The sequence below is a fragment of the Homo sapiens genome, chromosome 11 (genome assembly GCF_000001405.40).
Source record: "Homo sapiens chromosome 11, GRCh38.p14 Primary Assembly".
NCBI classification, from domain to species: domain Eukaryota; kingdom Metazoa; phylum Chordata; class Mammalia; order Primates; family Hominidae; genus Homo; species Homo sapiens.
The window spans coordinates 94,889,546-94,907,621 of NC_000011.10; positions in this window are offsets into that span (position 1 = coordinate 94,889,546).

Genomic DNA, 18,076 nt, shown 5'->3' on the forward strand with positions numbered 1-18,076 from the left:
GAATGTCATTGGTGGCCAGGTGCGGTGACTCACCCTCTAATCCCAGCAGTTTGGGAAGCTGAGGCGGGCAGATCATGAGGTCAGGAGATTGAGACCATCCTGGCTAACATGGCGAAACCCTGTCTCTACTAAAAAAAATACAAAAAAAATTAGCCAGGTGTGGTGGTGGGCGCCTGTAGTCCCAGCTACTCGGGAGGCTGAGGCAGGAGAATGGCATAAACCTGGGAGGTGGAGCTTGCAGTGAGCCAAGATAGCGCCACTGCACTCCAGACTGGGTGACAGAGCAAGACTCCATCAAAAAAAAAAAAAAAGGAATGTCATTGGTATTTTGATAGGGATTGCATTGAACCTGTAGATTTCGGCGGCATGGTCATTTTAGCAATATTAATTCTTCTAATCCATGAGCATGGAGTGGCTTTTTATTTCTTGATATCCTCTTTAATTTTTTAAAATTATTTATTTTTATTTTACTTTAAACTCCAGGATACATGTGCAGATCGTGCAGGTTTATTACATAGGTGTATATGTGTCATGGTGGTCTGCTACACCTATTAACCCATCATCTAGGTTCCACCCCCTCACCCTCCGACCCCCCAACAGGCCCTGGTGTGTGTTATTCCCCTCGCTGTGTCCATGTGTTCTCATTGTTCAACTCCCAGTTATGAATGAGAACGTGGTATTTGGTTTTCTGTTCATGTATTAGTTTGTTGCATCCTTTTTAATTTCATTCATCAGTGATTTGTAATTTTCATTATAGAGATCTTTCACCTCCTTGGTTAAATTTATTCCTAAGTCTTTTTTTGATAATTATTATAAATGAGATTGCCTTTTTGAAATCTTTTTTAGCCAATTTGTTATTAGTATATAGAAATACTATTTTTGTATGTTGATTTCGTATCCCACAATTTTTCTCAGTTCATTTATCAGTTCTGAAAGGTGTTGTTGTTGTTTTTTTTTTTGGTAGAGTCTTTAGGTATTTCTATATGTAAGATTATGTTGTCTGCAAAGAGGAACCATTTGACTTATTCTTTTCCAATTTGGATGCACTTTATTTTATTATCTTGCCTAATTGCTCTGGCTAGGACTTTCATTACTATGTTGAATAAAAGTGGTGGAAATAGGCATTTATGTCTTGTTCAGGTTTTTACCTTTTCTTTGTTCAGTATGATGTCAGCTGTGGGCTTGTCATATATGGCTTTTGTTGTGCTGATGTATGTTCCTAATGTGCCTAATTTTCTGAGAATTTTTTTAAGATGAAAGAATGTTGGATTTTATCAAATGCTTTTTCTGCATCTATTGAGATTATCATATGATTTTGGTCCTTCATTCTGCTGATGTATCACATTTATTGATTTGTGTATGTTGAACCACCCTTGTTTCCTTGGGATAAATCCCACTTGATCATGTTGTATTATCTTTTTGATGTGCTGCTGGATTTAGTTTGCTAGTATTTTATTGGAGATTTTTGTGTTTATGTTTATCAGGGGTATTAGCCTGTAATTTTCTTTTTTATTGTGTCTTTGTCTGGTTTTGGTATTAGGGTAATACTGGCCTTGTAGAATTAAAAAAAAATTCCTATCTCTTCATTTTTTGGGAATAGTTTGAGAGGAAGTGGCGTTACTTCTTATTTAAATGTTTGATAGAATTCAGCAGTAAAGCCGTCCACTCCTGGGCATTTATTGGGAGACTGTTTATTACTGAATGAATCTTGTTACTTATTATTGGTCTGTTCACATATTCTATTTATTCATGGTTCAATCTTGGTAGGTTATATTTGCCCAAGAATTTATCCATTTCTAGGTTTTCCAATTTGTTGACATACAGTTGTTCATAATAGTCTCAGATGAAACTTTGTATTTCTGTGGTATCAGTTATGAGGTCTCCTTTTTCTCTGATGTTTTTTATTTAGGCCTTCTCTCTTATTTCTTCATCTAGTTAGTGATTTTTCAATTTTGTTTATTTTTTCAGCAAACCAACTTTTCATTTTATGTATCTTTTTGCATTTTTTCCTATTTCTCTTTTTTGATTAGTTCTTCTCTGATCTTTATAATTCCTTTCTTTCTAATTTGGGGTTTGGTTTGTTCTTTTTTTTCTACTTCCCTGAGGTGCATTGTTAGCTTGTTTATTTGAAATCTTTCCACTTTTCTGATGTAGGCATTTGCTGTGAACTTCCCTCTTAGTACTGATTTTGATGTATCTCATAGGTTTGGGTATGTTGTGTTTCTAGTTTCACTTGTTTTAAGAAATGTTTTGATATCTTTCTCAATTTCATCATAGACCCATTGGTTGTTCAGGAGCACGTTGTTTAACTTTTAATTATTTGTACAACTTCCAAAGTTCTTATTATTGATTTTCAGTTTTGGTACATTGTAGTCTGAAAAGACACTTGATATAATTTCAGTTTTTAAAAATTTGTTGAGACTTGTTTTGTAGCCTAACGTACAGTCTATCCTAGAGAATGTTCATGTGCTGATGAAAAGAGCGTATTCTGCAGCTGTTGGATGAAATGTTCTATAAATGTCTGTTAGGTTCATTTTGTTGATAGTACAGTTTAAGTTTCATGTTTCTGTTGATTTTGTCTAGATGAGCTAACCAGTTCTGAAAGTGGGGTGCTGAAGTCCCCAACTATTATTGTATTGAGGTATCTCTAACTCTAATAACATTTGCTTTATATATCTGGGTGCTCTGATGTTGGGTGCACATAATTTACAATTGCTATCTTCTCTTGCTGAGTTTATCTCTTTATCATTATATGATGGCCTTTTCTGCCTCTTTTTATGCTTTTGATTTAAAGTCTACTTTGTCTGATATAAGCGTAACTACTCCTGCACACTTTTTTCTGCTTGCATGGAATATCTTTTTTCATCCCTTCACATTCGGTCTGTGTGTCTTTACAGGTGAAGTGAATTTCTTGCAGTCAGCATATAGTTGAGTCTTGCTTTTTAAAAATTCATTCAGCCAGTCTATATCTTTTAGCTGAGAGCTTTAAACAATTTACATGTAAGGTTGCTATTGGCAGATGAGGACTTACTGCTGTATTTAGTTAATTATTTTCTGATAGTTTTGCATATCATTTTCTTTTTCTTCCTCTTATTGTTTATCTTTTGTGCTTGGTAGTTTTTTATAATAATAACATTTGATTCTTTTTTTCTCACTTGTATATCTGTTCTACCAGTGAGTTTTATACTTCTGTGTGTTTTCATGAGGATAGATATTGTTCTTTTGTTTCCAGATGCTCACTTAAGCATTTCTTGTAGGACTGGTCTAGTGGTGTTAAATTCCCTCAGTTTTTGTCTGAGAAAAGAGTTTATTTCTTTTTCATTTCTGAAGGATAGCTTTCTCTGTGTAGCATTCTTGGCTGGCAGGGTTTTTTTAAAAACAAAACAAAACAAAACAAAAACCACTTTGACTTTATTATCTCCTGGCCTATAAGGTTTCTTCTTAGAAATATGCTGTTAGTTTGGTGGAAATTCTCTTACATGTGACTTGATTATTTTCTTTTGCTATTATTAGAATCCTCTTTGTCTTTGACTTTTCATAGTTTAAGTGTAATATGCCTCTGGGAGGACCTTTTTGGGTTGAATCTATTTAGGAATCTTTTAAGCTTCTTGTATTTAGATGTATCTCTCTGAAGACTTGGGAACTGTTCAGCTATTATTTTATTATATAGGTTTTCTATGCACTTTCCTATCTCTTCTCCCTCTGGAACTCCCAAAATGTGAATATTTGTTGCATAAGGGTGTTCTATATGTCATGTAGGCCTTCTTTATTCTTTTTTCTTTGTCAAATTGGGTTATTTCAAAAGAACTGTGAGTTCAGAAATTTTTTTCTGCTTGATGTGGTATATTGTTGAAGCTATCCATTGTATTTTTCATTTTATTCATTGAATTCTTCAGCTCCAAAATTCTGCTTGGTTTTTTAAAAATTATATACATCTCGATTGGATTTCTCATTCAGATCATGAGTTGTTTTCATGTTTTTTTTTTTGTATTATCTACCTGTGTTCTCATATCTCACTAAGTTTCCTTAGGATTATTATTTTGAATTCCTTTCCAGGCATTTCATAGATTTTCTTTTCTTTGGGGTCTGTTACTGGAGAATTATGTTCCTTTGGAGGTGTCATATTCCTTGAATTTTCATTTTTTTGTGTGTCCTTATGTTGACATCTGCACATATAGTGTAACAGTCACTTCTTCCAATTTGATGGAGTAGCTTTTGTAGGAAAAGATGTTTTCCCATAGATGTATCTATAGTGTTGGTTGGTTGGGGCACTTTGGTTTTGGTTCTGGGTGAACACAGTAGTATAGTCTTTGTATGATTTCTTTGGCTGTATCCAACATCAGTGGTGTCTGCGAGCTCCTCAGTGGCTTAGTCTGTGTTTGTGGAAGCCATCAGGTAATTTTTCTGGGGTTGGGGCCCCTGGGCAGGCTTATCCTTTCGTCCCGGGTGGGGCACACGTGGGCATATAGTAGCCCTGACACTGCAGGGGGCAGGATCACTGCTAGCAGTGGTAGCTCCAGGCAAGTGGCTCTCGGGTTCTGAGGAGCCCATGCTTTGCCTTCCTATATCCTGTGGGCAGCTTCCCTGATGTGCTGGACCACCTGTTACCCAGGAGGTAGGGCACTGAATGGGCTTAGACGCCAGCAACACAAATTCACCACTGGGTCCAGCTAGTGTCATAATGCTGCAGCTCTTTGGATGAGTGATAGGGTGGATATCATTGGTGTCCCAGTGGTGTGGAGAGGCAGGGGGCTATTGGGGCTCAGGTCAAGATGAAGTTTGGTGGTGGCTCAGCTCTTAAAATTGTACCATACTGTAGCAGCCTGGGTCCCAAAGGGTGAGGGGCACCTGATGTAGATTCCCACTCTGGGGCAATGCAGTCATGTGGAGTCCGGGAAGCTCCCTATATCAGGCTCAGGGCCTGTGAGGGCTGTGGCGCTCTCCTGTAGTCAGGATTTCAGGTGTCTGTGGTGGGAATGTGGACTGCTGGGGATCTCCTGCCTACCTTTTTCCTGCAATAAGGGGGCAGGGGGCTCTCAGCTCCAAGCCAGTTCTGGCTGGCTGCTTTACTTCCCATCCTATACATCTCAAGTTTCCATGCCTCAGAGTGTCTTTATCTCTTCTTTGCTGAATTCTTAGATGCTGTATTTAATGTGTGGTTATCTATTTGTTGTTTGATCCTTCTTTGTAGAGAAGGCAAGTGTTGGGTGGTCCATCAGCCATCTTGATCTTGCTTGCTTGTTTTTTATCTTTTATCTTTTCCACAAGGAATTGAGGGGGCTACCAGCAAAGTATACATACAACATGGTTAATAAAATAGAAACAGAAGATCCTTGTTGTTTGTGACTTAAAATCCCCAATTTCAGCTCTTCTTTAATAATACTAAAGATCAGTAACTTAATTTTGAAATCTCTTAAAATTTGAGCCACTCAGCCTCAGCCCTCTATTCCCAGGAGGTAGGAGAAACTGTATACTCCATCATTAATATACTGTTGCACCCCACCCCTCAAGCCAAAGCCACCCTGTAGGATAGAGCTGGTAGCCTGACCAGGGGTACAACTCCTGATCCAACTCCCCTGCCTGCCTGCACTCATAAAGTCCCATCCAAGGCTATGTTAATGTCAAAGGGGACTTTTAGGGAGAGGGGCAGGTATTTTAATAGATTTCAATAAATTCTTTTTCTTTTACCCAACCCCTCATGTGTTTGATAGTCAAATGCAACTTCAAAATTAAAAGTTTTTAAATGACAAGTTCCTGTAGTCCCTCCTCTGAACCAGAAGATTCTGAAAGTCTCCCATCAGGGTCTGGAATTTTACCCTACTTCCAAAGTAATAAGCAAGTTTGTTAATGTGTTATGAATGTTTTTGGAAGACATGATACTCCTAGGTCTCTTTGTTATTCATAACATAGCCAGCAGCATGAGTACCATGTTGGCATCAGTTTTCCATTCCCCCAAGTCATACAGGGCAATGCAGGGGGCCCCTGGTAGATGCTATACATGCAGTGAGTTTGCATTATTGCTGAGGGACACTGAGTTTAAGAAATCTACTGCTTTTATAATGAGTGGTAAGCAAGCCTGCTCGTTGTCCAAAGGAAGACATTACCTCATCCCTCAAGACTGCTGGCTGCAAACACAACTCTGAGAAATGATCTGGGTAAAGAGCACTCAGGGACTTGTGTTCTTGGCATATCTAGTGGAAACTTGCAGGGATGCTTAGCACCCATATCAGATCATTTCTTCCCAAACCCTCCTGTTAATAATTGAGGGTGGGATGCGTGGATGGCCAGTTTTCCCCCAGCTGCCTAGTCTCTTTGGGCTACAACCAGGAATGCAGAGGGTTTCTTGGCTCTACGTCTGCGACTTCTCTATCCCCAGCCCAGCCCTCCAGGCTGACATCTCTGACTGCTGACCTGACATCAAATAGCAATACAGTGGCTGAATTTTAAAAAACCCTGACCATGCCTGGTACCATGTCAGATCCTCTACATGTATTATTTCATTTAATCATCACAACAACCTTTGAAAGAGCATGCAGCCAACCACCCATCATTTACAGATGAGGAAACAGGCTCAGAGAAATAAGGTGACTCACTGCCTGTCAACCAGCTAGTGAGTAACGGAGCCTGGATTTGACCCACTGTCTGGCTGGCTCTAGAGTCCATGTATTTTTGTCACCCTACTGTGCTTCTGCTCCTTCCTGGTCAAGAGGGAGTGGATTTTTTGTTCTTGTTTGGTAGATTTTTTTTTTTCAAATTCTTCTTCACCAATGGCATCTTTCTCTGACCTCTAGCCTCTTTCCGTACCCAAAGGCCTGGCTTGGAGTCAGAAGGTTCTCAGTAGACCTTGAAATTAGTCTGCACAAATGTGCATGAGGACGCTGACTGAGCAGGAGCAGCCCTCAAGGCTGAGTTCCTGGGCTTTTGGAACAGCCTGTCATAGCTTCGCTTCCTTGTGGATAGAGGAGTGACAGCAGCCATACCAGGGCTACTGAGAGCTCAAATGGTATCTTTTGCAAATTAGACAATGGGTATTCCTCCCTCAAGTCAGTTGATTGCCATTTGCTGGAAAATAGCGAATATATATATATATATATATATGGAGATACCTATGTACATGTCACTTCCTGCTACTAGATAGAGAATAACCTGCACAACTGTACATTGTCAGGCTAAGTCACATAGACCCGGCTGTAAATCTGGTTCTCCTATTTACTAGCTCAGTGGTCTTGGGCAGGTCATCGGGCAATCCAAGGCTCAGTTTCTGATAGAATGCAAGCAGTGTTGCCTCCCTGTCTACCTTGTTTATAATTTTGAACAGGAAAATAGGCAAGAAGTGTTGCTTAAGTCCTGGGGGAGAGTGTCTCCTCTTGGGATAAGATGGAAGTATTAAAAATCAGAGACTGTGGCCTTGTCCCAGGGGGACATGCAGTCCTCCCTATCCAGCCACAGGTAAGATAATTGGAGTGCCTTTAAATTCTTGTGTGTTTTTCTTGTTACAGTGAAAGAGGAATTAAACTAATAATAAGGCTTATCTTCATTTTCCTCTTCTCCTTTTTCAGTGACCTAATTTTTCCATAAATTTTACCTCTTCACAACTCTGTTCCTCTTCCCATTACTCACTTGTTCTTTTTTCCTCCTATTCAAGCCTGCTTTCAGAAAATGGCTGGTAAGGCTTAATGATATTTTGGAAATTTGCCTCTAAATAACTTTAGGCCAAAAAACTGAACTTAATCAGTACATTTGGACCTCAAGGAAAGGTATTTTTGAGCCAACATCTGCAAATGACATAGAAATATTGCCAAGAAGTTAACCATCTGTTCCACCTTGAAAAGATGTGCTGCAAAGTCTTGGCACCCTGAACTATAAAGGTAATAACTAAAAAGAAATAACCTCGTGTTAGAGCAGCAAGCCCCCTCTAGTGGCCCATCATGGGAATGACCACCATTCTCCCTAGGATCTGGACTTGGAAATTCTGCTACTCCAATGCTAGCTCCAGGCATCTGCTCAATCCTTTATACACTCATAGCAATGAGACAAGACATTATTTGGGCCTTACAGTCATCCTCTGATGGCTGGAGGGCAAGAACACCAGTCTCCTTAATTGTTCAGGATCCCAGGACTCCAGGCCCAGATCAGTCTTTAGCTGGGAACCTCTCTGGGCCTCAGATTCCTTATCTGTAAAATGAGATGAATGGTGCCTGGTATACATCTTTCACAGGACTGTTGTGAGGATCAAGTGACAATAAGGGATAAGAGAGGTAAAGCTCTTTGAAAAGTGCATTCATAATGCACTTTTAGTAGCAACAGTGTTTCTGCTGTTCTATTCAACACGGTAGCCACTAGTCACATCTGACTGCTTGAATTGAAATTAATTAAAATTAAATAAAATTTAAAACTGAGTGACTCGGTCACACTAGCCACATTTCAAGCACTCAGTAGCTACTTGTGGCTAGTGACTATCATGTAAGAGATCACAAGTCTAGAACGTTTCTGTCATCACAGAAATTTCTACTGGACAGCCCTGCAGTTTAGATAACTGATTTGAAGAACAAGCTTTATATTCTCTAATTCATCTCTGCTCTTGAAAAAGAAAAATCTCTTATCAGCGGTTTGCAAATCTAGGAAGACACCTAGATTACAATGAACTGGGGTGGGTGTACAGTTAGGTTTACCGTGGATTCATTATGTATATATGTGTGTATACACACACACACAAACACACACACACACAGAGCACCTGTTCTGTGTCTGCCAAGCACCGTGTTAAACTCATTTTGGGCAGTTCTATCAAAAGATGGACCCGGGTTTTGAAATTCATTGCTCCATCAGGGTTCCTAGATAAAGAACTCAATGTTGCAGGGTAGTTTCACCCCCACATCAACCCCCTACCTCACCAATACACAATTGAAGTTCTTCTGTAGCTCCCATTGCCTCTGGGAAGACTTCCGGCCCTCTCCCCACTGGGTGGTGAGCCCTCCTCTTTGCTCCCATAGGCCCCTGTTCTTCCATTTGCATTGTAGCTATCATACTGTGTGGAAATTTGCCTGTTTGGTTGTTTTCTGTTAAAATGTAAGCTCTCAGAAGGTAGAGACCAGGTCTGTCTTACATTCATTTGAATTTTCAGCCTCCCTCACACAGGGCCTGGCCCATATGCAGTAGATGCTCAAAAACTATTAGTTAATGAATGAATGAAGTATATGGATGGATGGATGGATGGATGGATGGATGGATGGATGGATGGATGGATTTCTTTGTTCCTTTATTTAGGGTCCTGTATTCCCCTGCATAAAGCCCTCAGGTATGAAACTGCTAGAGATTCTCTTTATGCTAGGCCACCACATCCTTTGACCACATTCCTTGCTCCAATTAGGTAGTACAAGCTCAGTGAGAAAAGCAAAATTTGATTTATGTTTCTGGCAATTCAGCTGATGAAAACAACTAAAGTGCTAGATAAAAATCTGCTGCAAATATCATTTTAAAAACAAAACATTGCTAATCCATACAAAAACTTTTACACAAATGTTCATAGCAGGATTATTTATCATAGGCAAATGTGAGAACAACCCAAATGTCTCTCAACAGACGATAAACAAAATGTGGTATATTCATGCAGTGGAATACGATTCAGCAGCTAAAATGAATGAAGTAGTGACACACGGATTGATGAACCTTGAAAACAGTCTTCTAAGTGAAAGAAACTGGTCATAAAGTGCTGCATATTATATGATTTAACTTATATAAAATGTCTAGGATAGGCAAATCTACAAGGAGAGAAAATAAAGTAGTGGTTGCCTGAGGCTGAGGGAAGTGAGGTGTTACTGCTAGTGACTACAGGGTTTCTTTGGGGAGTGACAGAAATGCTCTAAAATTAAATTCTAGTGAGTTTTGCACAACTCTGTGAATATACTAAAAACTTGATGCCTTCTCTGATGAATTCTACCCAACATTTAAAAAAGAGTTAATACCAATCCTTCACAAACTCTTCCAAAAAATGAATAAGGTGGGAACATTTCCCAACTCATCCCATGAGGCTAGTATTACCCTGATGCCAAAACCAGACCAAGACATCACAAGAAAAAAAAAAAACTGCAGAACAATATCGCTTTTGAATATGGAGGCAAAAATCCTCAACAAAATACTAGGAAACTAAATTCAGCAACCTTTAAGAAGGATTATATACCATGACTAACTGAGGTTTATTCTAGGAATGCGAGGTTGTTCAAAATTCAAAAGCAATCAATGTAATAAACCATATCAGTAGAACAAAAGACAAAAACAGCATGATCATCTAAATACATGTAGAAAAAGCATTTGACAAAATCTAGCACCCTTTCATGAAAAATACACTAAACAAAATCAGAATAGAAGGGAAACTTCCTCAACCTGTAAGAACTACGAAAAAAAAAAAAGTCCACAGCTAACATTGTACTTATGATGAAAGAATAAATGCTTTTTCCCTAAGATTATGGACAAGACAAGAATGATAGATCTTGCCACATCTCTTCAATATTGTATTCTAGCCAGGGCAATCAGGCAAGAATGAGAAATAAAAGACATCCAGATTGGAAAGGAAGTAAAATTATTTTTGTTCACAAATGACACGATCATGTATATAGAATATTCTAAGTAATCCACCATCACAAAAACAAATATTAAAATTAACAAATGAGTTTAGCTAGGTGCAGGATAGAAGATAAATATACAAAGATTGATAGTATTTCTATATACCAGCAATAAATAAGCTGAAAATGAAATTAAGAATATGATTCTATATACAATAGCATCAAGAAGAATAAACTACTTAGGAATAAATATAACAAAATAATTGTAAGATTTTTATACTGAAAACTACAAAACATTGTTGAAAGAAATTAAATAAGGCCTAAATAAATAGGAAAATGTACTGTGTTTATGGATCCAAAGACTTAAAATTGTTAAGATGGCAATACAAGGAGATATTGTGGGTTTGGTTCCAGACCACCACAATAAAGCAAATACTGCCATAAATCAAGTCACACAAATTTTTTGTTTTCTCAATGCATATAAAAGTTATGTTTGCACTCTAACCTACTAAGTGTGTAATAACATGTCTAAAAACACAACGTACATGCCTTAATTAGAAATACTTTGCTAGAAAATGTTAATTAACTGAGCATGCAGCAAGCTGTATTTTTTTTGTTGGTTGAGGGTCTTGCCTTGATGTTGATGGCTGGTGACTGATCAGGGTGGTAGTTGCTCAAGATTGGAGTGTCTGTGGCATTTTCTTAAAATAAGACAACAATGAGGTTTGCTGCATTGATTGACTTCATTTCATGAAAGATTTCTCTGTAGCATGTCACGCTGTTTGACAGCATTTTACCCACAGTAGAACTTCTTTCAAAATCAAAGTCAACCCTCTCATATCCTGCCACTGCTTTATCAACTAAGTTTATATAATATTCTAAATATTTGGTTGGCATTTCAACAATTTCACAGCATTTTCACCAACAGATTCCATCTCAAGGAACCACTTTCTTTGCTTATGCATAAGAAGCAACTCATTTATCCAAGTTGTATTATGAGATTGCAGCAATTCAATCAGATCTTCAGGCTCCACTTCTAATTCCAATTCTAGTTCTCCTGCTACTTCCACTATATTTTCAGTGACTTCCTCCACCGAAGTCTTTTACTTTTTTTAGTTTCCACTTTTATTTTAGATATGAGGCTACATGTACAGTGAGTGTAGTACCCAATAGGTAGCTTTTCAACCCACACCCCCATCTCTGCCTCTCTATTCTAGTGGTCTGCATTGTCTATTGTTCCCATGTTTATGTCCATGTGTGCTCAATGTTTACCTCTCACTTATAAGTAATCACATGCAGTATTTGGTTTTTTCCTCTTACATTAATTCACTTAGGTTTATGGCCTTCAGCTCTACCCATGTTGCTGTGAAGGACATGATTTCATTCTTTTTATGGCTGTATAGTATTCCATGGTGTATATGTACTACATTTTTTAATCCAATCCACCATTGATGGGCACTTAGGTTGAGTCCAGGCCTTTGCTACTGTGAATAGTGTGGTGAAGAGCATATGAGTGCATATATCTTTTTGGTAGAATGATCTATTTCCCTTTGGGTATATATCCAGTAATGGGATTGCTGGGTTGAATGGTAGCTCTATTTTAAGTTATTTGAGAAATCTCCAAGTGGCTTTTCACAGTGACTGAGCTAATTTACATTCCCACCAACAGTGTGTAAGCATTACTTTTTCTCTGCATCTTCACCAGTATGTGTTTTGACTTTTTAATGACAGCCATTCTGACTGGTGTGAGATGGTATCTCATTGGGGTGTTGATTTGCATTTCTCTGATGATTAGCAATGATGAACACTTTTCCATGTTTTGCTAGCGGCTTGAACGTGGTCTTTTGAGAACTGTCTATTCATGTCCTTTGCCCATTTTCTAATGGGATGATTTGGTTTTTGCTTGTTCAATTGTTTAAGTTCCTTAAAGGTTCTGGATATTAGGCCTTTGTTATATGCATAGTTTGCAAATATTTTTTCCCATTCTGTAGGTTGATAGAACAATAGTTTACTGTTAGTTATTACTCTATTGATAGTTTATTTTGCTGTGTAGAAGCTCTTTAGTTAAATTATTTCCCACTTGTCAATATATGTTTTTGTTGCAATCGCTTTTGAGGAAAACCAAAAATTGTTTGCCAAGGCCAGTGTTGAGAAGGGTATTTCCCAGGTTATCTTCTAGGATTTTTATGTTTGAGATCTTACATTTAAATTGCTAATCCATCTTGAGTTAATTTTTGTATATGGTGAAAGGCAAGGATCCAGTTTCATTCTTCTGCTAGCTAGTTATCCCAGCACCATTTACTGAATAGGGTAGTCCTTTCCCCATTGCTTGTTTCTGTCAGCCTTGTAGAAGATCAGATCCTACTGAAACTATTTCATAAAACTTGAGGAGGAGGGGCTCTTCTCCAACTCCTCCCTAATCAGCCTGATACCAAAATCTGGCAGAGACAAAATGAAAATAGAAAACTTCAGACCAATATCTCTGATTAACATAGATGCAAAAATCCTCAACAAAATACCAGCAAACAGAATTCAGCAGCACCATCCAGCACTAAAAAGTTAATACACCATGATAAAGTACACTTTATTCCAGAGATGCAAGACTGATTCAACATATGCAAATCAATAAATGTGGTTCCCCACATAAACAGAATTAAAAGCAATAACCATATGATCATCTCAATTGATATAGAAAAAGGTTTTGATAAAATTGAAAATGTTTTCATGATAAAAACCCTCAACAGACTAGGCACTGAAGGAACATACCACAAAATAATAGGAGCCATTTATGACAAACCCACAGCCAACATCATACTGAATGGGCAAAAGCTGGAACCATTCCCCTTGAGAAACAAAACAAGACAAGGATGCCCACTGTCACCACTCCTATTCAACATAGTGCTGGAAGTCTTGGTCGGAGCAATCAGGCAAGAGAAATAAATAAAAGGCATCCAAATAAGAAAAGAAGAAGTCCAACTATCTCTCTTCACTGATGATATGATTCTATATCTAGAAACCCTAAAGACTGCCAAAAGGCTACTAGAACTGATACTTTTAGTAAGGTTTTGAGATACAAAATCGATGTACAAAAATCAGTAGCATTTCTACATACCAATAATGTCCAGGCAGAGATTCAAATCAAGATAACAACCCCATTTATAATAGCCACAAAGAATATGAAATACCTAGGAATACAGCTAACCAAGGAGGTGAAAGATCTCTATAAGGAGAGGTACAAAACACTGCTGAAAGAAATCAGAGATGACACAAGTAAATGGAAAATCATTTTATGCTCATGGATTGGAAAAAATCATATTAAAATGGCCATACTGCCCAAAGCAATTTACAGATTCAATGCTATTTCTATCAAACTACTAATGATATTTTTCACAGAATTAGGAAAAAACTATTCTAAAATTCATATGGAACCAAAAACAGCCCAAACAGCCAAAGCAATCCTAAGCAAAAAGAACAAAGCTGGAATCATACTACCTGACTTCAAACTATACTGTAAGACTATAGTAACCAAAATAGCATGGTACTGGTACAAAAACAGACACATACACCAACGAAACAGAATAGAAAACTCAGAAATAAAGCTGCACACTTACATCTACTGAAGTCTTGAGCTCCTCATAGTTATTTATGAGGATTGAATGGAATCAACTTATTCCAGCTCCTGTTAATTTTGATATTTTGAACTCCTTCCATGAATCATGAATGTTCTTAATGGCACCTAGAATGGTGAATTCTTTCCAAAAGATTTTCAATTTACTTTGCTCAGAACAATCAAAATAATCACTACCTATGGCAGTGATAGGCTTACAAAATGAATTTCTTAAATAATAAGATTTGAAAGTTGGAATTAGAACTTGATCCATGGGCAGCAGAATGGATGTTGTGTCAGCAGGCATGAGAACAACATTCCTCTCCTTGTATGTTTCCAACAGAGCTCTTGGGTGGTCAGGTGCATTGTCAATGAGCAGTAATATTTTCAAAGAAATTTCCTTTTCTGAGCAGTAAGTCTCGACAGTAGGCTTGAAATATTCAGTAAGCTATGCTGTAAACAGATGTGCTGTCATTGAGACTTTGTTGTTCCATTGAGAGAGCACAGATAGTCAATTTAAGATAATTCTTAAGGGTCTTAGGAGTTTTAGAATGGCAAATGAGAACTGGCTTCAACTTAAAGTCACCAGCTGCATTAGCCCCTAATAAGAGAGTCAGTCTATCCTTTGAATCTGTGAAGCCAGGCATTGACTTCTCCTCTCTAGCTATGAAAGTCCTAGATGGCATCTTCCTCTTATAGAAGGCTGTTTTGTTTACATTGAAAATATGTTGTTTAGTGTAGATGACTTCATCAGTTATCTTAGATATCCCGGATAACTTCTGCAGCTTCTACATCAGCACTTGCTGCTTTGCCTTGCACTTTCATGTTAGGAAGGTGGCTTCTTTCCTTAAACTTCATGAACCAACATCTGCTTGCTTCAAATTTTTCTCCTTCAGCTTCTTCACCTCTTTCAGCCTCCACAGAATTGAAGAAAGTTAGAGCATTGCTCTGGATTAGGCTTTGGCTTAAGGGAATGCTGTGGATGATTTGATCTTCTTTCCAGACCACTAACTTTCTCCATATCAGCAATAAGGCTGTTTTGCTTTCTTATCATTTGTGTTCACTGGAATAACACTTTTCATTTTCTTCAAGAACTTTTCCTTTGCATTCACAACTTGGTTAACTATTTGGCACAAGAGGCCTAGCTTTCAGCCTGTCTGGGCTTTTGATATGCCTTCCTCACTAAGCTTAATCATTTCTAGCTTTTGATTTAAAGTAAGAGATGTGTAACTTTCCCTTTCACTTGAACACTTAGAGGCCATTGTAGGCTTATTAGTTGGCCTAATTTCAATATTCCTGGAGAATATTGAAAGGAGATTGAGAGAAACAGGAGAATGGCTGGTCAGTGGAACAATCAGAACACACATAACATTTATTGGAACCAGTTTTAACATTTAATAGATGTTATTTACACATAACATTTATTAAAGTTTGTAACCTTTAATGGACACAGTTCATGGCATCCCAAAACAATCACAATAGTAACATCAAAGATCACTGATTATAGATCACCATAACACATATAATAATGATGAAAAAATTAAAATATTGTGAAAATTACCAAAATGTGACAAAGATAGGAAGTCAGCACATGTTGGAAAAATGGCACCAATAGACTTGCTCAAAACAGGGTTGCTGCAAACCTTCAATTTGTGGCAAAAAACTGCATTCAAAAATGTAGTCTTTGCAAAGTGCAATAAAATGAAACACAAAAAAATGAGGTATGTCTGTACCCCCAAATTTATTTACAGATTCAATATTATTCTTATCAAAACTCCAGTTACGGTTTTCTTTTGCAGAAATTGACAGGCTGACCATAAAATTCATATAAAAATGCCAGAGACCTAGAGCAGTTCAAACAACCTTGAAAAAGAAAAAAAGTAGGAGGACTCATACTTCTCATTTCAAAAGTTACTACAAAGCTATAGTAATCAAAACAGTGTGTTACAGGCCTAAATACAGACATGTAGGTCAATGGAATAGAATTGCAAATCTAAAAATAAACCCTTGTATTTATGGTCAATTAATTTTTGACAAGAGTTAAAGACAATTCAGTAGGGGAAGACGAGTCTTCTCAACAAATGATACTGGGACAACTGGATATCATATGCAAAAGAATGAAGTTAAATCCATATCTCACAGCATATACAAAAATTAACTAAAAATGGATCAAAAACCCAATGTAAGAGCCAAAACTCATAAACTCTTAGAAGAAATGATAGAAGCAAATTTTTGTGACCTTGGTTTAGGCCATAGTGTTTTAGATATGACACAAAAAGCAAAAGCAGTAAAATAAAAAAATAAATTGGACTTCATCAAAATGTAAAACTTTTGTGCTTCAGACACTATCAAGAAAGTGAAAAGACAACCAATAAAATGGGAGAAGATATCTGCAAAAAATATATCTGATATATCTGATTAATAACCCAATTAAAAATAGGCAAATGATTTGAATAGACATTTTTCCCAAGAAGATATACAATGGCCAGTAAACATAGGAAAAGATGCTCAGCATCAGCAGTCATTAAGGAATCAAAACCACAATGAAATGCCCCTTCACACCCACTAGGTTGACTAATATAAAAAGACCGACAATAACGAATATGGTAAGGATATAGAAAAACTGGAACCCTCGTACATTGCTAGTGGGACTGTAAAATGGTGCAGTCACTTTGGAAATCAGTATGGCAGTTACTCAAATGGATGAACATAGAGTTAGCATATGACCCAGCAATTCCACTCTTAAATATCCATCCAAGAGAAATAAGAGCATGTATCTGCAGAAAACTTGTACAAAAATGGTAATTGTGGCATGATTTATAATAGCTAACAAGTGGAAACAATACAAAGGTCTAACAACTGATAAATGGATAAACAACATGTGGTATATTCATACAATGGAATATTATATGGCAATAAAAAGGAATGAAGTACTAATACCTGCTACCTCAATAATCCTTGAAAATATTATGCTAAGTGAAAGAAGCCAGTGACAAAAGACTATGTATTTTGTATGATTCCATTTATAGGAAATATCCAGAATAGGCAAATCTGTTCAGACTGAAGGAAGCTTAGTGATTGCCAGGGACTGAGGGCAGAGGGGAATAGGAAATGACTGGTCATGAATACAGAGTTTCTTTTTAGGGTGATGAAAATGTTCTTAAATTTGATACTCCTGATGGCTGCATAACCATGTGAATATACTAAAAACTACTGAAATGTATACTTTGAATGTACAGTTTTATGGTATGTGCATTATATTTCATTAAAGCTGTTATTTTTAAAAACTACATACCACTATTAAAAAATGACAGTGAACAATAAATATGCTAAATATTGTATACATCCAAACATTGCTTGTACTAAAAGACAGTGATAATAATGAATAATGACATCTAATTTGTATTGTGGAAAAAAAGGGATACAACTTAAATATTAGACAAAAATAGCAGTAAGTTGGGAGAGGGTGACTACAGTTAATTAACTCTACAATTCTGTAATAGTTTGGGAGGAAGGTAATGAATGATACTATCATTAGGGTCTATTAAATATGCATGAAAAAAGGGCCAGGCTAACTACTTAAAGGACAGACATATGCATAAAACTTCAAAACTAGTAAAGGGAAAAAATGAGGGGTGGTAATAGTATCTTCCTGTCTCTTTCCCACAGTCCCCAAGAGGCCCATCCTCATCCAAGTCTTCATTGCTTTGTCACTGCTAAGATTTCCCTGGGGCTTCGGAGGGTATATTATGTGGAGGAAAAGGGAATCTACATTTATGATTCATTTAACATGCATTACTTCAGTGATTTAAACCTCTCCATCCCTTGTGTTATGTACAAAACCATCTTCCATTTACAGAGAAGACGAGGCAAGGCCAGAGTGCTTAAGTCACTTGTCCAAGGACAC